Genomic DNA, 25,235 nt, shown 5'->3' on the forward strand with positions numbered 1-25,235 from the left:
GTTCTTGGTCTCGGTGACTTCATGAATGAAGCCGCGGACCCTCGCAGTGTTAACAGTTCTTAAAGATGGTCAGGAGTTTGTTCCTTCAGATGTTCAGATGTGTCCGGAGTTTTTTCCTTCCGTAGTTTGTGGTCTCGCTGACTTCAAGAGTGAAGCCGCAGACCTTCGCGGTGAGTGTTACAGCTCTTAAAGGTGGCGCATCTGGAGTTGTCCGTTCCTTCTGGTGGGTTCATGGTCTCCCTGGCCACAGGAGTGAAGCTGCAGACCTTCGGGGTGAGTGTTACAGCTCATAAAGGGGGCATGGACCCAAAAAGTCAACAGCAGCAAGATTTATTGCAAACAGCAAAAGAAGAAAGCTACCACAGCATGGAAGGTGACCCGAGGGGATTGTGCTGCTGCCTCGGTGGCCTGCTTTTATTCCCTTATATGGCCCCACCCGCATCCTGCTGATTGGTCTATTTTACAGAGAGCTGATCGGTCCATTTTGACAGAGTGCTGATTAGTGCGTTTACAAACCTTTAGCTAGACACAGAGTGCCAACTGGTGCGTTTAGTAACCTTTAGCCAGACAGCAAAGTTCTCCAGGTTCCCACCCAACCCAGAAGCCCAGCCGGCTTCACCTCTCAATAGCGCTCGCCCAGGATTTTACTGCGGCACCTAGTCCAGGCACTCTGGCAGCCCAGAGGGAGCTCGTCCCCCAATCAAGCCCAGCAGGCGCCAGCCTGCCGCGCCGAGTGCAGGGCCCGCTGAGCCTGGGCCCACCCGGAACCCGCGCCGGCCTGCAAGCGCCTCGCGCAGCCATGGATCCTGCCCGCGCCTCTCCCCACACACCTCCCCGCCAGCAGAGGGAGCCGGCTCAGGCCTCGGCCAGCCCCAGAGAGGGGCCCCCACAGCACAGCGACGGGTCGAAGGGCTCCTGGAACGCGGCCAGAGCGGACGCAGAGGCCAAGGAGGCGCCGAGAGCCCAGAGCGAGCAAGGGCTGCTAGCACGTTTTCACCTCTCAATAGGAGGAAGTAAAGGAAATTTTACCTACAAAATAGCAATACTAAGCTTTACAGCTGACATTACAACAGCAACAAGAAAAGGTAAATTATAATGGAAAGTATTTTCAAATAGTTAAAGGTAATTAACTGCAAATCACTTGGAATTCTCTACCCTCTAAAAAATAATGTCTTCATTACTAACTTCCACTGTCATTGGAGTTAATTATTCATGTTCCCTCTATGTTTAATGTATACATATTTATTCAGCTAGTTTGTCTATACTTTCCATTCACCATGACAAACAGGTTTTGTGTTTATATTTGGTTTGATCATCTATCACAAGGGCTACCTTATCATAGGCCTTAATAAATGTTGTTAATCCTATGTATAAGTGCCCAAGAATCTCTTGACAATAGTCCCTCCTGAAAGTTAATCTTAAAACTCTTCTTTAAATAGGACTAAAATGGAAATACTGATTACCTTTAAGGTGAATCTATTTTTTTCATATTAAAAAGATGTAAAGTAATTTAAATGAATGCACATGTCAAAGGCATGTCTTTCAGTGACTCACATGATTATTGGTCCAATTGATATGGCTCCATTGTCTGGGGAAACACCCAGGGTTTTTGGTCTCGTGCTGAGAACATTAGTGACATGGACACACGTGGAGCGGATTAAGGACTGGAAAGTTTAGTAAGCAAGAAAAAGAAAAGAACAGTTCTTCCTTACAAAGGGAGGAGGGCTCCAAACAGAATAACCCTGCTGGGGCGGAAGGCAGTAGGTTACACTGGGAGGCTTGAGGAGGTGGCGTCTGATTTGCATAGGGCCCAAGGGATTGACTTGACCAGTTGTGTCATTCAAATAGCCCCCCCAAAAAAGTCCCTCCCACCCTAACTTTGATTATGTAAATGTGACTACTTGGCTGGTCGCCATGATACCTGTACACATGGCCTCTACCTGGCTCACTGTCATGATGTCTGCACACGTGGCAACAAAGAAAAAGTAGCGGGAACCGCCATATTGGGTGTACTTGGCTCTGAGCCACCTGCGTTTACATATGCAAGCCTGTGACTTGCATATCGATGCTTGCAGGTCTGGTTTTTCAGGCTGCTTTCTGTCAGAAAAGAAATGTTTTGGGGGCTGCTTTATTATTAAAAAAAAAGCCTTACCGAGGACTCTTTTACCCTTTCTAGCTGCCTAAAATAATTTCTTTCTTTATTTTTCTTTTTTTTTTTTTCCCGAGACGGAGTCTTGCTCTGTGGCCCAGGCTGGAGTGCAGTTGCACGATCTCGGCTCACTGCAAGCTCCACCTCCCAGGTTCACGCCATTCTCCTGCCTCAGCCTCCCGAGTAGCTGGGATTACAGGCGCCTGCCACCACGCCCGGCTAATTTTTTGTATTTTTAGTAGAGACGGGGTTTCACCGTGTTAGCCAGGATGGTCTCGATCTCCTGACCTCGTGATCCACCCGCCTCGGCCTCCCAAAGTGCTGGGATTACAGGCGTGAGCCACCGCGCCCGGCCAAAATAATTTCTTAATAACTCCTGTAATACAATCCTAGGAACATAAAAAGTACCTGAAGTTTAGTGGCGCCATTCAGAAATCTAATTTTCAGGAAGTAGCACTGTGTGCGTGGCCGTGTGTTATGCTTCTTCAATTAGTCCCTTTCTTTAAGTTCATCAGTTCACATTCTCTACTTTTCTAATATAATCCATAAAATCAAATTTTATCAGTTACCATAGATATCTTTCTAAAATATAACTTTGGTTTCTTTTCTTTCTTTTGAAATAAAATGCATTTTACTTTTTATATTTTTATTTTTTAACTTTTATAATGATATAAATGTATACTTACAAGAGTTGCAGAAATAACGCAGAACCCATTTACCTATCCAGCTTCCCAAGTGGCGTTTACTTATATAATCAAAAAGTGCAATTATAAAAAATAGTTGACATTAATGCAATACTATTAGCCAATCTAGGGATTTTATTCAACTTTTATTCTTTGTATCACTAATATTCCTTTTCAATTCCAGAATCCAATTCAGGCTCACACATTGAATTTAGTTGGCATATTTCTATAGTTTCCTCTAATATGGAGTATTTTCTCTGTCTGTCTTGACTTTGAAACTATTGAAGATTACTGGTCAATCATTTTGTAGAATACATATCAATTTGCATTGTCTAATATACACTACAGAAATTATGCTGTGTTATTATTGCATTAGGAGGTATCTGATGTTGATAATATTACTGGGATATTTATAAGAGAGAACTATGTGTCCAAAATATGAGGTACATGAATAAAAGCATTTAGGAATAATCTCTGCAAGCTTCTGTACTCCATCAAATTTAAGACGTATTGATTATAAGATGCTTCATTGAATTTACCTGCAATATTTAGAAGAAAAAAATAATGCTTTCATGAAAAGTACAATGCAATAACTTTCTAACAACTAGAAATGTTACAAAAGTCGAAAATTTTAGTTTGTTTTTATTTAAATAATAGAAGTGCTGATAACATGAACAGTTATTGACCAGGTTCATAAAGAGTAGTCTGACAGTAGTATATCCCCACAACTGCCACCAGACCAGCTGTGATTGGTATTCCCTTCTCAGGTTCAGAGATGTTAAAATGGGCAGGGGGGAAGAGGAGAAATAAGTATTTTAGTATAAAAAAAAAAAGAATAGATTAACACCCTTCAGCAATGGTAAGAAGTCACACTTCAGATTGTATACAGTGAAAACTCCTCCTTTTTTTTTTGTTATGGTAGGGGAATAACATGATCATAACATGTTGTTGATATTATTACTGGGATGCTTATAAGAGAGGATAATATATCCAGAATATGAGGACGGTTTTATGCACTGGGATATATTACCTTCCCCCAACACCAGGAATGACAATAAGGGAAAAAGTTTCTGTTTCTTTGAGTTTGGGGATCATATTGCTAAGAAAAGAAAAGAAAAACAGGACATCTATTTATATGCCTATGCTTACATAGCACTATAACCATAGTGCTAAGTTAATAGTCTCCTGCTTTAATGTAAACATTGGGAAAAGCTTAAAACAATTTAGAAAACAAATATAAAGATCCTAAAGCCATGATTTTCCAAGCTGGAGGTCACTTTCCCATTTCACAGCCTGGTGTTTCATGGAAATGCTTTATATTCTCCACCCAATGATTAATGAATACAATTACAACAGTAGGAAATTTAACAAGACAATAGGAAACAAACTTACAATTATGAGTATTCATTTACCAGAGTGGCAGATTTTTACTGTGTAAAGTAAAAAAGTGCATTTCCAAAAATGTGTAGTATGGCATAGAAAACCTGAATTAATTGTTTTAATTAGAGAATCAATCTAGCAGCTTAGGTTGAAGAAGCAAAGCCATTTCATTGTATCTGCATAGACCCACCTCTAAGGGAACTGCCTGTGACAATCCTTTATGCCTATTGTCCTGGCATAATTATTAATACCATTCTCTTTCACTGTCACCATTTTTCCAGTTTGACAATAAGTTATACGCCCATTGAACTGATAACTGAATTTAAGTTGTAAGTAATGTAGAATATGCAATATCAAAAATACATTTATTTTGACATTAATTTGCATAAGTGAAAAGCAAGAACCTAAAATTATAAATGTTATATAATAAACTCCCAAAACTTATTTTTAATTTCAAAAATGCATTTATACTCTTGAGTTTCTTACATTACTTTTATTTTCCATGCTTATTCGAGGTATATGGGATGCCCAGGAATATACCTGTCAAATAGATATAAAAACATAGAGAATCTGGAGCAGTTAGGAGCATGGGATTTCCCATAGCATTTGAATCCTGGCTCTGTAGTTATCACTAAGTAACCTTGCAGACTCACTCTAAGCCTTCTGTGTCTCAGTTTTTAAATCTCTAAATCAGAGGTCATTGTAACATTTACCTTAAAGTATTGCTGTAAGAACTGAATGAGTGATAAAGCTCTATATAAATTAGAGAATGTGGCTGGCATTTTGTAAGCATTACATTACGTAAGTACAGATAGCCCCCAACTTAACTATAGTTCAATTTATGTTTAATTAAAGGATACTGTGAAAGCAATATGTATTTAGTAAAACTATACTTGAAATTTTATATTTTGATCTTTTCCCAGGCTAGTGATATGCAGTATGATGCTCTCTCCAGATGCTAGGCAGTCAGCCAGCAAATCAGTAGGATAAACAACCGACGTTCTTCAGCGTACCGTGTTGTCAGATGATTCTGCCCAGCTGCAGGCTAATGTAAGTGTCCTGAGGATGTTCAAGGTAGGCTAGTCTATGCTATGATTGATGTTCAGTAGTTTAGGTATAGTAAATGCACTTTCAACTTAGAATACTTTCAATTTATCATGAGTTTATAGGGACATAACCCTATCATGAGTTGAGGAGCGTCTATATTTAGATGAATAGATAGATAAAGAGGAATTGGGGGATTATTGCCTCTTATACAAGTTCAAATTCACTTGGGAAAATGGGGGAAGTTGATGGGTTTTTAAGTACAACACTCTGAGAGAACACAGAAAGAATAAGCAAGAAACTTGACCCAAAAAAGAGATAGTGAATCTTTAACACACTTCAGGACTCAGGGCACCACCCAGGTCTAAGGTAACTTGCAGGAATATGACATGGGTATAACTTTCAAGAGCTTTGAATTTATTTCTTAAAAGAGCTCAACATAAAATCAAAGTGAGAGCAAGAATATTTTAGCTTCCTTCTCTGTTCTCTTTATCTTTTACTCCATGTTTCATATATTAACAAACCCTGTTGATACTAACTTTAAAATATTTTGAAAATGTGTCCATATATGATTACTTTCATTTATACTACATACTCCATGACATCATCACATTTATGTCAATTGTCTCCTAATTTGTCTCCCCGTTCTGCCCTTGCTCTCTATTCAGTATATTTTCTCCAAGTAACAAGAAATCTTCAGTTAAGGCAGAAGTCATGTCTCTCAAAACCATCCATTGGTTTCCTGTTTCAGTCACCATAACAGTCAAAGTCCTTAGAATTGTATATGAAGCACTCTGTGCTTACCTCTTTATTACACTTTTTTTTGTTTCTTTTTTAAAAATTTTTTTTAACTTCTTTATTTCAATAGGTGATTGGGGAACAGGTGGTGTTTGTTTACATGAATAAGTTCTTTAGTGCTGATTTCCGAGATTTCAGTGCACCCATCACCCAAGCAGTGTACACTGTACTCAATGTGTGGTCTTCTATCCCTCAGCCCTACTCCCACCCTTTCCCCCAAGTCCCCAACGTCCATCGTATCATTCTTATGCCTTTGCATCCTCATAGCTTAGCTCCCACTTGTAAGTGAGAACATACAAGGTTTGATTTTCCATTCCTTCACTTAGAACAATAGTCTCCAATTCCATCCAGGATACTGTAAATGCCATTATTTCGTTCCTTTTTATGGCTAAGTAGTAGTCCATGGTGTGATTGATATATATATATATATATATATATATATATATATATATATATATATATATATCACATTTTCTTATCTACTCATTGATTTATGGGCTTTTAGTCGGGTTCCATATTTTTGCAATTGCAAATTTTGTTGCTGTAAACATGCATGTGCATGTATCTTTTTTCATATGATGACTTCTTTTTCTCTGGGTAGATACCCAGTAGTGGGATTGCTGGATTAAATGGTAGATCTATGTTTAGTTATTTAGGGACTCCCCACACTGTTACTCATAGTGGTCGTGTTTTAGTTTCAGCAATGCACCAAGATTGTCTTGTGCTCAGACAACCAAGCAGTCTCTTGTTGTCTGACGTAATACCTGGAGTTCTTTGTCCTACCTCCAAGAACATTAAGGAGAGCAGAGACAAAAGTGAGGTTCGAGCAAAAGTTTTGATAAGCAAAAGAAGAAAGCTCTCTGCCAGCGGAGGGGGGAGCCGGAAGGGGGTGCCCCCTCTGAGGCTAGGGTCCAGGGTTTTTATGGACTGGGAAGGGGAATAAATGTGCTCAGTCCATAGACTGTCTTAGAGAATGCGTGATTCAGCTTGGCCCAGGACCTTGGTCTGGGACCAATTAGAAAGCTTGGCCCAGGACCAATCAGGGGCTGAAGCGATGATGTATGGAGGCTACTCAGCTTGCCTCAGGACCTGTCAGGAGCTGAAGTAAAAGCTTGTCCTGAGACCTTGGTCCAGGACCAATCAGGGGCTGAAGCGATGATTCATAGAGGCCGGGCTCACAATCAAAAAAAAGAAAGGAGAGTGCCCACTGGAACCCACTGGAGCCCACTGTGGCCATGCCCACAAAAAGAGAAGAAACTTTTTCCTGGGAGCCCACTGATTATACAAGGGACAAAGGCATTTCTACGCTGGGCCTTGTTTTTTTTTTTTTTAATCTGAGTGAGCCAGAGGTTTGTGCAAGTGTTTATCCAAATGGGCCGGAGGTTTTTCTATCTGTGCAGCCGTAGCCATGTCTCTAGGCATAGCACCATGTGCTAGTTCCCTTATGGTGTCTGCAGCTTGATTTTTTTCCCGGGCTGCTTTTTATGTTATGTGAGGATGAGGCACTGACCTATGGGCCAGGGGCTCTCTGGGGACCCTTCTTTGCTATCTACCTAAGGCAAGCTAACTCCTTTCAGTTGTACTAGTTTACATTCCCAGCAACATTGTAAACGTCTTCCCTTTTGATCACATCTGTGCCAACATCGATTTTTTTTTAATTTTTTGATTATAGCCATTCGTACAGGAGTAAGGTGGTATCGCATTGTGGTTTTGATTTGAATTTCCCTGAGAATTAGTGATACTGAACATTTTCCCATATGCTTGTTGGACATTTGTGTATCTTCTTTTGAAAAATGTCTATTCATGTCCTTGCCTACTTTTTGATGAGATTGTTTGTTTTGATGATTTGTTTGAGTTCTTTGTAGATTCTGGATGTTAGTCCTTTGTCAGATGTATAGATTGTGAAGATTATTCTCCCACTCTGTAGGTTGTGTGTTAACTCTGCTGATTATTTCTGTTATTCTGCAGAAGCTTTTTAGTTTAATCAAGTCCCATCTATTTATCTTTGTTTTTGTTGCATTTGCTTTTAGGTTCTGGGTCATAAAATCTTGGCCTAAGCCAAGGTCTAGAAGGGTTTTTCTGATGTTATCTTCTAGAATGTTTATGGTTTCAGGTCTTAGATTTAAGTCTTTGATCAATTTTGAGTTGAGAGATGAGGATCCAGTTTCATTCTACATGTAGCTTGCCAATTATCCCAGCATCATTTGTTGAATAGAGTGTCCTTTCTCCACTTTATGTTTTTGTTTTCTTTGTTGAAGATCTGTTGGCTGTATTTGGCATTGTTTCTGGGTTCTTTATTCTGTTCCATTGGACTATGTGTCTATTTTTATACCAATACCATGATGTTTTGGTGACTATGGCCTTATAGTATAGTTTTAAGTTGGGTAGTGTGATGCCTCCAGATTTATTCTTTTTGGTTAGTCTTGCTTTGGCTATGTGGGCTATTTTTGGTTCCATATGAATTTTAGGATTGTTTTTTCTAGTTCTGCAAGAATGGTGGTGGCATTTTGATGAGAATTGCATTGAATTTGTAGATTGCTTTTGACAATATGGCCATTTTCACAATATTGATTCTACCCATCCATGAACATAGGATGTGTTTCCATTTGTTTGTGTCATCTATAATTTCTTTCAGCAATGTTTTGTAGTTTGCCTTGTAGAGAGGTCTTTCGCCTCCTTTGTTGGGTATATTCCTAGGTATTTAATTTAATTTAATTTAATTTTTTGCAGCTATTGTAAAAGAGGTTGAGTTATTCATTTGATTCTCAGCTTGCTCACTGTAGGCGTATAGCAGAACTACTGATTTGTGTACATTAATTTTGTATCCTGAAACTTTCCTGAGTTCATTTACCAGCTTTAGGAGCTTTTTGGATGAGTCTTTAGGGTTTTCTAGGTATGTGATCATAACCAACAGCAAACAGCGACAGTTTAACTTCCTCTTTATTATACTTTCTAGTATTCTCTCCTTTCCTTATTTTCATAGAAGCTGCAATGGTTCCATGCTTGTACCCAACAGACACATGGGTGACTCATGGCTTTGCTCTTCTTCCTTATACATGAAAACTCTCCCCCCAACATAGCCATGCGGCTCCAAGGTACACCTCCTCAGGATCTTTGCTAAACTTTCTTCTTTAGTAAACCCTTTTCTTGACCCTGTAAGATAAGAAGTTCTCATCTGTTATGGTCTAGATTGACAACATATCAAGGCATGTATAATAGGTAAATGCTTCTCAAACAGCCTGAGGCTTGTTTAATTTGGGCTGTGTTTTTCCTGTGATTAATATGTATTTCATTCAACTATATATGAATATCTTATATAAAACAGTATAATGTATAACAATTCTGAGGACAGTGCTTTTATGGAATAAAACATTCAATTTTTTTAGTTTTCTGAGCCTAACTTGGTATTTGGAGTTAGAAAAGAAGTGGAGGTATTCCATCTTTTTTTGTTTGTTTTGTTTTGTGAGACAGAGTTTCGCTCTTTCACCCAGGATAGAGTGCAGTGGCACGATCTTGGCTCACTGCAACGTCCTCCTTCTGGTTTCAAGCGATTCTCCTGCCTCAGCTTCCCGGCTGGGATTACAGGTGCCCACCACCACGCCTGGCCAATTTTTATATCTTTAGTAGAGACGCAGTTTCACCATGTTGGCCAGGCTGGTCTCGAACTCCTGACCTCATGATCTGCCTGTCTCGGCCTCCCAAAGTGCTGAGATTACAGGCGTGAGCCACCGCACTGGGCCAGAGGCATTCCATCATTTAGGGGTTTCTCTTCTTCAAGTATACTTCCCTTCCTGGTAGCCCTCTACAAAGAGTCAGACGTCCTAAAGAATCATTTTCTCCTTTCCAAAAACAACTCGTCTCTAGAACACTTGGTCAGTGCCCACTTAGTATACAGCATATTGTAGATTGAGTTCATAAACCTGCTTTGCCAGAATGTGCTGTCAGCATTCTTTGCATCAGAAGACCAAACTTAGATTTGTTATGTTCGGAAAGAGAATAATATATCATAAATTTAAAATACTGATAATTCTCTATAGAACATGTTTATGTACAAAATATAGGCAAAATTCTTATCTGTTAAAAGGGTGATTACTATATGATCACAATATTCTTCGATAATATGATCAGATTTGTCTTCTCAAAATGTCATAAAGTAATATTTCAAAAAGCATTCTCAAAACAGGTAGGCCACAGTCTGCTAAATAAAAGGAAAAGAAACCAGTGTATATTCATTAACAAGTAGGTATTCCTTGAATGAATATATTTTTGGCTTTTTACTCTTTTTAGTGTTGCTTTTGCTTCTCTGGACACTTCCCCCTATAAAATGATTAGTTGCCATGCTCAGATGTCATGTGTTGAATCTGAGACAAGAGTTGCCAAAGTATATTGAAATAGAATCAGACATTCAAAAAGACCAGCCACCTCTTTAGTGATAGCTCCAAGACACTATTATTTTGATACTGAATTTTCTGCATCCACCCAAGATAAAAATGTTTAAACCTATGTTAATAATGTAACTTAAACATTAAGAATTGTTTTGGAATGCCAATTCATCTCCTTTATGTGCATCGAAGAGATTAAGTTACCTAAGATGCTTTATTTTGGAGGATACAAATATGCTGATTGCAGCAGAATCTGCCCTGGAAAGAATGTAAATAACATAGTGAATGGTGAACTCAGTGCACTGCATTTATCTTCTAGATTCATTATCAAAGTGTCCTTTGAGTTTAACTTTTTTCATTTAAAAAATGAAGACCAATACACTAAGGAAGCATTTTGTTTTCAGAAGTGATACATTGGACAATTCTTATGTAGGAATTAATTAAGTAAAATGTCTTCAAGTGAACAATTGGTTCAATCACCAGATGAATTCAGAAATGTTTCTCTGAAGGCAGACCTATTATATTTTCACCTTTAGGCACCAGGGGGTAACATGTCTTATTAATGCCTATATTAAAATTGATCTGCTTCCATAGGTATAGTACCAAATAGACAGCTCATCAAATAAAATGAATGCTTTTAAAAGGATTTTATACATAGTTATGCATTTTCAAAAAACAAATTTCCATTTTGATGCAGGAAAATGAGGAAATTTAAATACACTGAATCATTTTGCTAGCTAGAAGACAGCAATTTAAATCATTATTATTGGGAAAATACCAGATATGATTATATTATAAAAAGCTACTTAGCAAATAGCATCAGTTATACATTATAAGGATGAATTTTATGTGATTTTCCTTATAGAGATCGTGCTTTTTTTCTATAGATAAATGCAATATTAAGGTTGGAAATTTGACTTACCCAGCATGTATTGTTTAAAGAGATAGATTCGTGCGTTCCAAATCCAATTTAAATAATGCATAAATTGTAACACTAACAGATAAGCTTGGTTTTCCTAAAATATCAGGATCAAGCAGACAAACCCTGTCTGGTTGTAACTTGATCAGTCATCTCTATGCTGTGGCTTGTATTCATCTGCTGGAGACATCTATGTGATATCCTCAAATAATTACAGACGTTTGTAGAAATTACATAGACTGTACACCAGAAAAAGGCAGTGTTCATAATTTGTTAACTGACGAATAAGATAAAATCTCAGACTCTTCATCGTTCTTGACAATTTTGGCAGTGGACATGTGATAGTGACAGATGTGTTCTGAAGAAGAGAACTAAGGTCCTTGAGGACGGATTGAGAGGATTTGAGGGAAGCCTGTGTAAGTTATGGTGAAAATGACAAATTGTATGGTCAACAGCTCTATAAGTGGTCCTCCATTTTATTGCCTATAATCAAGGATGAATTGGATGGGTGATTGCAGAATAAAATACTGAATAGCATCTGGTTATTACTAACTCCTCTGGGGAGGGAGAGTTACTCATTAACTGGCAGGCAGCCTCTGGTCCACCTCACTTTAACAACTAGTATTAAATCTGTGCAAGGTGGATAGAAAATCTAAATTCTTACAAGGTGGATAGAAAATCTAAATCCATTACTGGGTATATACCCAAAGGACTATAAATCATGCTGCTATAAAGACACATGCACACGTATGTTTATTGCGGCACTATTCACAATAGCAAAGACTTGGAACCAACCCAAATGTCCAACAATGATAGACTGCATTAAGAAAATGTGGCACATATACACCATGGAATACTATGCAGTCATAAAAAAGGATGAGTTCATGTCCTTTGTAGGGACATGGATGAAATTGGAAATCATCATTCTCAGTAAACTATCGCAAGGACAAAAAACCAAACACCACATGTTCTCACTCGTAGGTGGGAATTGAACAGTGAGAACACATGGACACAGGAAGGGGAACATCACACTCTGGGGACTGTTGTGGGGTGGGGGGAGGGGGAGGGATAGCATTAGGAGATATACCTAATGCTAAATGACGAGTTAATGAGTGCAGCACAGCAGCATGGCACATGTATACATATGTAACTAACCTGCACATTGTGCACATGTACCCTAAAACTTAAAGTATAATAATAATAAAATAAAATAAAAAAAGAAAATCTAAATTCTTTTCAGATGCAGTTTACAGAGATGCACACCAACTCTGGACAGAAAAAGAAGTAATTTACAACTACTCTGTGCAGAAAACAGGCAAATTATTAAATTTCCACTGGTTCTCTTTGGAAAAGTAAAGGGTGTAATGCTTATAAAGGAAAAATGGCAATAGCTGGGACATCTTAGGGCTTAGACCTTCCTACACTTCTTAGAGTTGTTGGGATGAGACAGTAAAAGATCTCAGACTGCCTGTACAGTAGGTCTTAACTGTAATAATGGATCTTTGGCTCTCTAGGAGATAGTTCCTTCAAAGAGATGAATTCCCATGGGAAAAAAATATCAATGAAACGTTAACTAGTACCAAGGTTTTTATAGCCTTAGATTGGGTTTACGTAGCTGTGACTTCATCCCGCTGCAGAATGTGAAACAAACAATCTAGGTATATTTTTTTGTGTTTATCCTTGTGTGCCATGGAAAACTTCACTAGATACTATGTAGAGAACTGGGAAGAATTATAGAGATGTTATCTTAGTAATGGTGCAGGAGATGCTGTGGATTTAGGTGTACTCCTTAAAGGAGTCATGGTTGTGTGAGTCAAACTTGAATCATTCAGAGGGAGAACATCCACTGGCCCCAACCCAGAAAGCAGTGTGACTGGCACTGTTGAGAGAAGGGATTCTCAAAACTGCCATAGATAGTGTCAGTCATGATATTCTCACAGCCTGATGGACCAGACACATTTAAAGTCTGTTTGATTGAGGCATTGGAAACTGAAAGCAAATGTACCTTGCCTGTTAGCTGCAAGCCACTCTCTACTGATGTGATCATCTTCTACCCTAGCCTCAGATGCTTTAAGAAAGATGAATAGAACTGGGACCAAGATGCCTCTGTCTCCAAAGAAAAATTAAAATGACATGCACACATTCAAGTTTGCAGGGAAACTTTGACCCTGGAATCTAGAACCCTGTAGGTAAGCTACAGCAGACCACTGAATGTGCTACACTGTGAAACATTTCAGTGAATTATGTATGAGTATTTATGCAAATGCATGTCTGGGGCAATATATAATATAGCCCATTTTCCATGCTGGTTATGTGACGTGTTGAGTACAAGTTGTAGGAAGGACCTTTCAAAGCTTCTTTCTACCCTAATTATCTTATTAACTTTGCCTCAGTTCCCAATTCCTAAGCACCATGATACCTATCTTCCTTTAATCTTTCTTCTCACTATGTATTTTCCAGGATTGAGACTATGTTATAATTCTCTAGTTTCAACCCTTTCTTAAGTGATGTAGGTATTTTTCATGGCATTTTGCCTGTCCAAGTATTTAGCTGATGCTTAACCCATTGACTTGACATATCCTTGCTCACATAAAGATATAGACAGAGTCTTCTACTACTACCCGTCTCTTTCCCCACGGAACAGTTCCTCTGTACATCCCCTTAGGTAAAATGATCAAAATATGAGAAGGAGAGACAAAGTGTGGTTAGCATGAGTAAACCACATTAATACAGAGAGAACATTTGACTGCGTCAATTTTGCTCTATATGCTTTTTGTAAGTATATTTACCAGCCTTGTTGAGACCAAAATTTGGGCCAAAAATATAAGTACCTGGCTGTTAAAGCTGAGAGGGAACTATGTAGCATAATTATAACACTCTGAAAAGAAAAAATTTGAAGATGCTCATTTTGATTATGTTTAAAAACTCCAATCATGGATATAAAATTCCTAATTTGCCTACCGGATGAACAAGTAGTACATCCTTGTATTTGTATAGCATCTGTTTCCATGGAATATAAGTAGTAAATGTTAGCTACAGAATATATATATGCAGATTTGAGTATAAAAAATATCTTTTACAAATAACATTTTATTTCCATTTTAGTAATAGCCCCAAACTCAGTCAGAAGTGCAACAGTATTTTGGCTGAGGGCCTGTTTGTTGTAGGAAAACAGGGCTATTTTCCTCCTATTCATAACATGCTTTTTCTTCTATTCAATTCACAGTGTGTTTCATTTTTAGGAAAATTCATTTTGGAGAATTTTCCTTATTCTCCATTGCTTCACTATATCAATCTATGTGAATGACATTGATTTCTTAGGGGGAAACACTTCCCATCAAGGTACATTTGGTTTACACATAACCAGCAGAAGCAGAAAGGAAAAAAAAACAGTCTGATGATATTTAGAAGTAAACAAACTTTACTTAATTTACAGGAACCCCTACTTAGTTTAATGTGACAGACAATAATGAGGAAAAATATTCTTGTTCATTGTCAGCTCGTTTAGATGTATCTGCGTTGAATTTCAGAAATGAACATACTTTAGGCTCTAAGTGTAAAATGTGTTGAATGCGTCGTCTGGATGCAGTTTCTTCAGTAAATTCCCTAGAAACCAGAAGAGGCTCTTCCTCAGATTGGCTTCTAATAGTGAAGGATTTTTTTTTAATGTACACGCTTTCATTAAACTTCATTTTTTTTTTTTTTTTTTTTTTTTGAGACGGAATCTCGCTCTGTCGCCCAGGCTGGAGTGCAGTGGCGCGATCTCGGCTCACTGCAAGCTCCGCCTCCCGGGTTCACGCCATTCTCCTGCCTCGGCCTCCCAAGTAGCTGGGACTACAGGCGCCCGCCACTACGCCCGGCTAATTTTTTGTATTTTTAGTAGAGACGGGGTTTCACCATATTAGCCAGGATGGTCTCGATCTCCTGACCTCGTGATCCGCCCGCCTCGGCCTCCCAAAGTGCTGGGATTACAGGCGTGAGCCACCGCGCCCGGCCTAAACTTCATTTTTAATGGCCCGCATAAGTGACTCTTTCTTCCCAGACCATTAAAAATAGTAATAATAGGGAAATAGAAGCAAGAAAGGAGGTCATTCATAAGTTAAAAATTAAATAAAAATGAAATACATCCCTGAAAAAAAAATGCTGGGAAACACAGAGACTTTGAAGACTAAAAAAAAAACAGCTTCCTCTTTCTCTTGAAGTATTATCTCTTGAATTTGCCTACCATTCATCTGATAGCACCCAAGGATTTTTTTCTAAAATATGAAAGTTTCAGTAGTATTGAAGCACTACCCTAACTCTCAATGTTTTAGAAAATAAACGAGGATTGATTTCTTCTTCTAAGTTACCTTAAAAAAAAGAAAAATTGATAAACCAAGAGGATTGAGTTGAGGCATAAAGAGATTTCAAGAAACACTAACTCAGTCTTACCAGAGTCATTAGCAGATTTCTTCTTTTTTTTTTTTTAATTTGGGTAACTGCTTGTCCCTGGTAGAGTTGGGTACAGCTACATTCTATTGCAACAACAAATGCAAGGACAAACATGGTGATTAAGGTAAAAACATAGAACTCAGAGTTTGCTGGTGCATTGTCTTCACAGAGCAATAGTTACTACAAACCTATCACCATCGGTTATATCATCAAAAGATCACAAGTGATTACAGGTAAAGTTCTCATCGATAAAGGCAATAACATGAGTTCAAATATGGGTCAGATATCAGAGAGATTCCATATCAACAAAAAAAAATAATATGTGGTGACTTTAGAATATGATTGCAAATTACTTGACAGTCTTCTCATTAAGACTGTCATCTCCTAAAATCTGGTGGGCTAGTACTATTTCAACCATTTGAGTATAACTGAAGTTATGCCGGATGATTGTTTTAGTTGACTATGGTATTGCCATAATATAATACCACAGAGTGGATGGCTTAAACAACAGAAATTTATTTTTTCTTTTAGTTCTGGAGGCTAGAACTCCAAAATAAGTTGCCAGCAGATTTGGCTTTTCCAGAGGTTTCTCTCCTTGGTTGCAGACAGCTGCTTCTTTCTTTCTGTGTCTTTCTTTGGCCTTTCCTTGGTATTTGTCCTTCCCTAGTGTCTCTTCTTCCTATAAAGACATCACTCATAGTGGATTAGGACCCCACCATTAGGTTCTGGTTTAACCTTAATTACTTCTTTAAAGGTGCTATTTCCAAATGCAGTCATATTGAGTGTTAGGGCTTCAACATATAAATTGGTTGGGGGCAGAGAGGTGCACTTCAGCTCTTAACAATGACTTTTGAAGCTAGGTTATAACAGATTGCACGACCTCCAATTTTAATGCTGGAAAATTTAATTTCATAGCCTTGAGTTGTCATTTAAAATATTAAAGTACCTTGAGACTACATGCTGTGAAAAAACAAAAGTTGTCTGTGGGGGGCAATGCAGAGAGCAGCCATTCCATGTTTTAAATGAGACTTGAAGTATACATACAGATACATAGATAGGTTCCATGGATGTGAATATGTTGCATCATCAAGTTATTGACTTTTTACTTTCTACCCCTTGGGACTATAGTTGCAGTGTCTGGATCAGAGAATAATGTAATATTGAATTTGAAAGTGAATGTACGAAGAAATGAACATGTGAATGCTGGAATGTCCCAAGACTTGGTTCTCAGTCTCTTCTCAATGTACAAGTGTATCTCATTATTATTCCCAGTTATTTAAGTTGTGGCAGATTACATAACTGGAGGCAATTAAGCCAAATTTGAACACATCTGTAGGATCTCAAAGCTCACTGTCTAATGCATGTATCGATAATCTCTCATTTTCAAGTATATCTCCAAATGGACATATAAAAATAATATATTTATGTAACTACTGTAAAATATATGTGACTTTTGGAAGCAATAAGGATGATCAGAAAACACAGCTTCAAGTAGCTCCAATTGCAAGCTTTACCACATATGATCTTTGTGGCTTTGAGCTTCTACAGACATTGCTTCTTTAATAGGCAAAATGAGACTATTAATACCTTCCTGGAAGATTGGTTAAAAAAGTTAAATGATAAACGGATTCAATATATGAGAAAACATCCTAGAGTGTGTTAAGTACCATGCACATACACTATATTTTTATTATTTTAAGAATATAAATGCAGGGCCAGGTGCCAGTGGCTCAAGCCTGTAATCCCAGCACTTTGGGAGGTTGAGAGAGGTGGATCACTTGAGGCCAGGAGTTTGAGACCAGCCTGGCCAACATAGTGAAACCCTGTCTCTTCTAAAAATACAAAAATTAGCTGGGCATGATGGCAGGGGCTTGTAATCCCAGCTAGTTGGGAGGCTGAGGAGGGAGAATCGCTTGAACCCGGGAGGGAGAGGTTGCAGGGAGCCAAGATCATACCACTGCACTCCAGCCTGTGTGACAGAGCAAGACTGCATCTACAAAAAGAAAAAAAAAAAAAGAAAAAAGAATATAAATGTAGTATAAATTTGTTGATTAGTTGTTGGAATGTGCAAGCAAATAAAATCGGTTCGTAAATGGCTTTCAGTGACTCTCAACACACCTTGAAAGGTATACATGATTTATGTAGCATGCTTCCTACTTGATTAAAATTTAATTAATCAGAAATAATGAAAAACATTTCATATAATGTATATATGCTATATGTAACATATAGCATTTTTGTTGTAACATTTATATTTATTGAAGAAATATAATTTGAACTAACTTCAAAAGTATTTTAAGTTGCTAAGGTATTTCTTCATTATTTAAATGTATAGGAACCACAGAAAAAATATTGGATAGTATGTTGTTTGGCTTGCTTTAATCTTTGTGAAAATTCCCAGGTATTCTTTTTTAATATGGCTAGGTTTGATTATTTTGCTTGCAAAATTTTTTCATTATAATCAGTTCCACCTTTTCTGTATCCTGACATATGGTAAATAAAATATTGTTTTTACCAAAATAGGCATATAAAATAGATATAAAAGAGTAAAGACTAGTAACATAATTGTCTTTCTCTCCAATTAAAATTTGTAAAATTAAATCATCATAGAATTTCTAAGCACAAGCTCATATTTCATTTATTTTATGAATTACAATTTACGGAGTACTATACATGTGCAACTTTGCCTATTTAAAAGCAGGTGATTTCTATGCGCTGTCATATTAAAATTCATATTTCTTAACCTCATTTAATAAAAAGCATTCTATGTGATGTAAGTGAATCTTTAAATAGCACAACATATTACAAGGTTACCAATGCCAAACATTTAGGGTCAGGAGTGCAACACAACATTTCCTGATGGAATAAAGTAAGAGAAAAGTCTTCTTTTATTTTCTATCTCTGTATTTTTTTAAATCTAGAATAAGGATTTATTTTATTCCTTAACACTCATTAAGAATAATGGGCTTAGCCAAAATTGCAAGAACATAAAGGAGTCAAAATTAGTTACATGTAAAGCATTCATCTTCCTTAAAACACTTTCAGAAGGTCAATTTCAATCTATAAAAACCAGTTAAAGATTATTCAACTATGTATAACGACTTACCCTAGAGATCAATTCACTTAAAAAAAATTGTCTTTTGCCGGGAACAGTGGCAACACATGTAATCCTAGCACATTGGGAAGCCAAGGTAGGAGGATTACTTGAGGCCAGGAATTTGAAACCAGCCTAGGCAACAAAGCAAGACCCTGTCACTAAAAAAAAGAAAAGAAAAGAAGAAAAGAATGAAGAAGAAAGGTTTTTTGACCCATATGGGCATTTCAAAGTCTTAATACTTCCAAATCTGGCTCACAAATAATGATTTGTTTACATATATATGAAAAGTCAATATAATATGTAAATTTATATATAATATTAAAGGAACTTGAAATGTACAATGTTTGCTGTAATTATATTTATGTTTTCTTAACAGTTCTTCTCTTGTACCTCAGTTATATCCAAATATTCAGCCTACACAGGACCTTTCTTAATTTTACCTTCCTTGAACACAACTACTCAACAGCAGCTTGTTTTAAATAAGCAGCCAAATGCACAATTATTTTTCTTTTTTCTTTTTTTCAGACAGGGTGTCGTCTTTGTCACCCAGGCTGAAGTGCGTAGTGTGATCAGGGCTTACTGCAGCCTTGACTTCCTGGGCTCAGATCATCCTCCCACCTCAGCCTCCCAAGTAGCTGGGACTACAAGCATGTGCCACCACACCCAGCTAGTTTTTGTATTTTTAGTAGAGATGAGGTTTCACCATGTTGCCCAGGCTGGCTTTAAAGTCCTGAGCTCAAGCATTCTGTCTGCCTCAGCATCCCAAAGTGATGGGATTACAGGCATGAGCTACCATGCCCAGCCAAAATTTTTTTCTAAATGTTCATATATTATTGCCTAAGGCAATTAGCATACTTGCACGTGTGTGTGTAGATATATATGCATAAAATTATATTTCCGTGAATATTTATGGAGTGACAAGTTTCTGCTAAAATCTCAACTAGTTGTTGGGTATAAGTGATCACTATTCCCATAGCCAGAAAACTAACAATGAGGAGGCTCTCATTGAAAATATAGTCTAATATAGATGTACGTATGTGTGTGTGCATGTATATATTTTTTTCTGGGAGCTAGAAGTATTACAAATATATATATATATATGATCACACACACATACATACATCTATATGTGCACACACACATACATACATCTATATTAGATGCATATATATATATATATATACACTCACATAAATATACTAGTGTTCACCAGTCGTTGTCAAAATTATTTGCAATACTGTCTTCTTCCAGCCTCAGGGTCTCTGCATAGAAAGTTCCTGAGGGCTATTGTTATACCTTCTCCCTGCCCTTATCTCTTGCTTATCCTGACCCCTTCAAGTCATAGCTCGGCAACCACCTCCTTAAGACATCCTCCTATGACTCTACAGGGTATTGAAAATCACTTAACTAAGTATTTCTTATCACATCTATAATTATATGCTTATTTGTCTGATGAATACATAAGGCATTAACTATTCAACTATTATCAGATTTTTCAAGAACTATGACAATTAGCATTTAATGAATGATTACATGTATAATGGCTTAATGCATCATTTGCTTTAATCCTCACAATGACACACCTAGGATCTGCAGAGCTAGAATTGGAACTGAAACAGTGTCAGTCTGGAAATCACAATTCTGTATTTCTGAAAAACTTTCTTTTTTGTGAAGACATTTGTTTACATCACTGGGAAGCTATTAGTAGGGCATTAGAAGGAAACAGATTTTTTTTCAGTATAAAATATGTTTCATGTCACTCATGTATAAAGTGACGGTAGCATCCTTAAATCCCCAGGTTCTGAGTACACAGTTCCTAAGCTGATAATTGTCTGCTTTAGTTGAATATTTCTCGCGTTTTTAAAATCTCATACATAGAGAATAGATCTGTTCATTCTTCATGAGAGTAATAGCTTGTGTCTAGTTTGCTTTGTGTCACTATCTTTATCTTTTACTCTGTTTATGACACCTTCTTTGTGCCTTTTTGCCAGAGAAGCTTCTTGTTCTTCTGCTAATTCTGTCAGCTGGGCTGATCAAATGATAATATTTGGCTAGTTCATGGCTCATTTGAAGAAGTGTTTCCTTTTTTCCCACATAGCATTTTCTTAAAAAAGAACTTCTTGAGAATATTTTCACTGCTTGAACCTTGAAAGCCTGACTCACCACATGTGAGACAATTAAAAGTTATTATTAAGAAAATGTGGTACATATACACCATGGAATACTATGCAGCCATGGAAAAGAATGAGATCATGTCCTTTGCATGGGAGCTGGAGGCCATTGTCGTTGGCAAACTAACATAGAAACAGAAAACCAAATACCACATGTTATCACTTACAAGTGAGAGCTAAATGATGAAAACACATGAACACAGAGAGGGCAACAACACATACTGGGGCCTGTCAGAGGATGAGGGTAGGTGGAGGGAAAGGATCAGGAACTAATAAGTAATGGGTACTAGGCTTCATACCTTGGTGTTGAAATAATCTGTACAACAAACCCCAATGACAGAAGTTTACCTATGTAACAAACTTGCACATGTACCCCTGAACTTAAAATAAAAGTTAAAAAAGTTATATAAATTTACCATTCACAGCCATTTCATAGGTTTAAAAACATCACTCTTCAAACACAATTTTATTAAAAATTCTTGAATGACAATTTTTAGAAGTTCATGATTTATATCTCAGGTGCGAGAAACAAAACCCAAATAAAAGTGAACTAAAATTTAGAAAATATTCATTATGTCACTTAAGTTTTTAGATAGATAAATCACAGAGCTGTTCAATTTATTGTCTTAGTGACATTTTTAAAAAGTGGCTTTTCACCTTTCTGTCATCTTCAGTAAATTGGCTTAGTTCTCCTCATGAAGCTGGCCAGCATAATTCCACAATTTGCATTCATAACAGCCAACTTTGAACCGTAAAATGTCACTGAGTCTTCCTATAAATATTCTTTGATTAGCCAGAAGACCATCTCAGAAGCATCCAGTGGACTTTCTCTCTTGCTCCACTAGCTGGAAACCAAAATCATTCTCACTCCTAACTAATAATAACAAAGGAAATTAGATCATTAGGATATGTTCAAGCTTTACTAAAGACAAGAGGGCTACGTCCTCTTCTTTAAATAAACTAGGGATGAAGAGACAAAAAGGAATTTTGCCTCAAGGGATATAGGGCATAAATGGTTTTTTGGAAGGCAACCAAAAGTATACCCTAAGGTTTTTTTCAATATTTTACTGTTAAAATAATCTTCAAAAATATATGAAAATGGGTGACACATGGAGTTTTATTGTTTTGTCTTCAAATCAAAAATGATTATAAAGCAATTGATCATAGTAATATAGTTAAACTTTAGCTATTAACCATTTTAAAAGTAGTCAAATGAAAGTAAAACCTAACTCATTTATCATCAAACATTGAGCTGGTTGAATGTGCCAGATACTCTCAAAGTGTGAAATACTCTGACACAGAGGAATAAAACCCAGCCCCAAACCTCATGGTGGGAGCTGGCATCATATAATAAAAGCCTCTTCAGGCAAAAATTACGTGACAGAACCAAAGAATGCTTTTTGGAAGAGGTGATATTGTAAAAGCAATGAAAGCCAAGACTTTAATTTAAAAAAAAATGTATTCTGCCAACTAAGGAAAAAAAAAAAAGGTTCTCATTATCTAAACATTGAAGTGGAAAAAGTGTTTTGAGTCCCCAAAAGACTAAAGTTCTGATATTGTTATCACCAGATATTAAATTCATATTTATCATCCCATTCAGCAGATGAACTTAATTAGGCACTTAGAAGATGTATGGTAAAATGGGTATAATATAACAATCCAAATCAACATGGAACAAAATTAGAATTTGTGGGAAAAAGATCTAGATAATCAGACCTAATTTAAACCTGACTTAATAAATAAAGCTCGCAAACATCCCTTATATCTACATTTTAGTTCTAGAATCTATTAGGTTTGTCATGAGCACAGTGGAATATTTTGTTTGAGCACCTGAAAGCTGAAATGTTTCATATGTGCCCTCTTTAAGAGACATCAGATTATGCATGAGACAAAATTAAATGGTGAAAAGATACAACAAACAAACCAAACATTTCCAAAACAGTCTTTTTCTTCAAAAGCTTGTATACATCTTTGTGTCAGATAACCTGTCACTAAGACTGTATTAGGAATTTAAAATGCCTGTAACAAGGAGGAGTGCTGCAGACCTACATAAAAAATTCAAAGTTGATGTAAATATTTTCCTGGGAACTAGAAGTATTACAAATATAAATAAAAAATATTTTAATTACAAAGTTTAGAGTATTTGTTCTGTTAAAATACCATAAAATACACATTGTTATGTATTCTTAGTTTAGTATGTGCTGTGGACTGAATATATGCATCTCCCTCAAATTGATACATTGAAATCTTAACTTTCGATATGATGGTATAGAAGTGAGGTCTTTAGGAGGTCACAAGTTCATTAGGAAGGAATCCTCATGAATGAGATTAAAGTCCTCATAAAAGAAAACAGAGGGAGACCCCTCACCCCTTTCTCCAAGTGAGGTTACAGTGAGAACATAGCTGTCTATGAGGAAACAGGGCACCACCAGACACTGTATCTGCCATTGCTGTGATTGTGGACTTCCCAGGCTCCAGAATTGTGAGAAATAAATTTCTGTTGTATATAATCTATTCAGTTTATAGTATTTTATTATAATAGCCTAAGCAATCTAAGACAGTATGACTGTTGAAAAGTAGGAATGAGAAATGGGACTGTCAAAACAAGTTAGTTGTCCATTCTCAGACACACTGAGTTGACTTTCGATGTGTTGTAATGTAAACCGTCCAGAGCATATCCCTAAGCAGTGGAATAATATCACAGATTTTATGTTCTACAATCCCTCACTGATGAAAAATCTACCTTTTTGTGTGTGTATGTTTGTTTGTTTGTTTGTTTATCTAAAGGCCAAATAAATAAGTCATAGTCCACCTATTTTTCTGCCCCCGTCCTATAAGTGATCAGACTCAAACTTACGGAAAGAAACTCTAATGGTCTCATTTGTTTTTAGAGCTGGTACTGAGCTCATTTATTTTATTTATTTTACTTAAATAAATGGAAATACTGGTGTCTATTTAAAGCACAACTGGACAAACCTCTGGAAACATTTTCTTGTTACTCCAAAAATGTACAATAAAACACTATAATACAAAATGCATTATTAATAACACACAGATGTCCTGAATATTTCCTTTAGAGTTTTCAATTAATGTACCGTGGTTTCAAGTTGCAATTATTGTACAGTGCAGAGTGAAGGGAATGCTCATTGTGATCAGTTCTTTCTCTGTTCTTTAGTCAAAGGCAAAGCACTCTGTAATAAAAGCAACAATATTTCCTTAAATTTGATGTGAGTGTTGGGTCTAGGGACAATTATAAATTCAATTTGAAAAGGCATATTCTTTAATATCTGGTATTTAATGACTGGAACTATTTCTGTCCGGTGTACAATAAATGACATTTCATGCTAACCAAATGTCTGAGTTTTCTTTTTGTTAACATTGGTCAATATAGAGCTGTTTTTAATAATAAATGTAGTTTATGACCCCTCATAATTTTACCTATAACCCTTAGGTTTTAAAAAGGTAAGGTTAAATTCAGAATATTTTAATATTTTTATAATTATTCTGTTTTTTACTACATGTAAAATACATTGTATACAATTGTATAAAACATAATCTAAGAAACTGAACATCCAACAGATTTCCCTTCTTCTTATTTTACAGGTTTTGTTTTGTTAACGTTGGTTCCTGCAAAATCTATATTTTGAAATGCTTTATTTAATACTTTGGGTTCTTGGGCCAAACTAAAACTGAAATAGCTTCTTTTAAAATACATTTTATTGCAATATAATATTATATTGAAAATATGATCACATAGAAATATGGAGAGCTTCCCAATTTATTTAATGGGCTAGTATAAGTCCAATATTAAAAAACAGCTGGCTCAAAAATGAAAAGTAAGAAGGATATAACTTTCTTATTGTATATTTGCAAATAGAATTTATCACTGTGTTAAAAAGATTACTGTGCCATTAGGGTTTCTAATGTAAAATGGTAATTTCACATTAGAAAACTTATTATCTAACTCAGTAGATTTTAAGGAAAAATCTATTAATCTTTTGGGGTTACAAAAGCCAATAGAAGCAACAAAAAAATAAAGTTTGATGCATCTTCACAATAAAATTACTTGTGGATTTGAAATAGAACAAAATTTCTTTATCTTCATATGTTTGAAAAGATATATTAATAAAAGCCCTAAATTAAACATGATCATTAATATTGAATATGCTAAATGTCCCCAT

At 36.5% G+C, this 25,235-nt stretch overlaps 1 long non-coding RNA gene across 1 annotated transcript in view; it reads left to right on the forward strand.

The window, feature by feature from the left end:
- The first annotated feature begins 906 nt into the window (after nt 1-906).
- Nucleotides 907-25,235, forward strand: part of LINC01692 (long intergenic non-protein coding RNA 1692) — a 217,197-nt gene continuing 192,868 nt past the window's right edge. Inside the window, exons 1-2 of the long non-coding RNA NR_046198.3 lie at nt 907-1,085; nt 5,136-5,286. This is a non-coding gene — a long non-coding RNA (long intergenic non-protein coding RNA 1692). The remainder of the gene's footprint in view (nt 1,086-5,135; nt 5,287-25,235) is intronic.

The sequence above is a fragment of the Homo sapiens genome, chromosome 21, assembly GCF_000001405.40.
Source record: "Homo sapiens chromosome 21, GRCh38.p14 Primary Assembly".
Classification (NCBI taxonomy): Eukaryota; Metazoa; Chordata; class Mammalia; order Primates; family Hominidae; genus Homo; species Homo sapiens.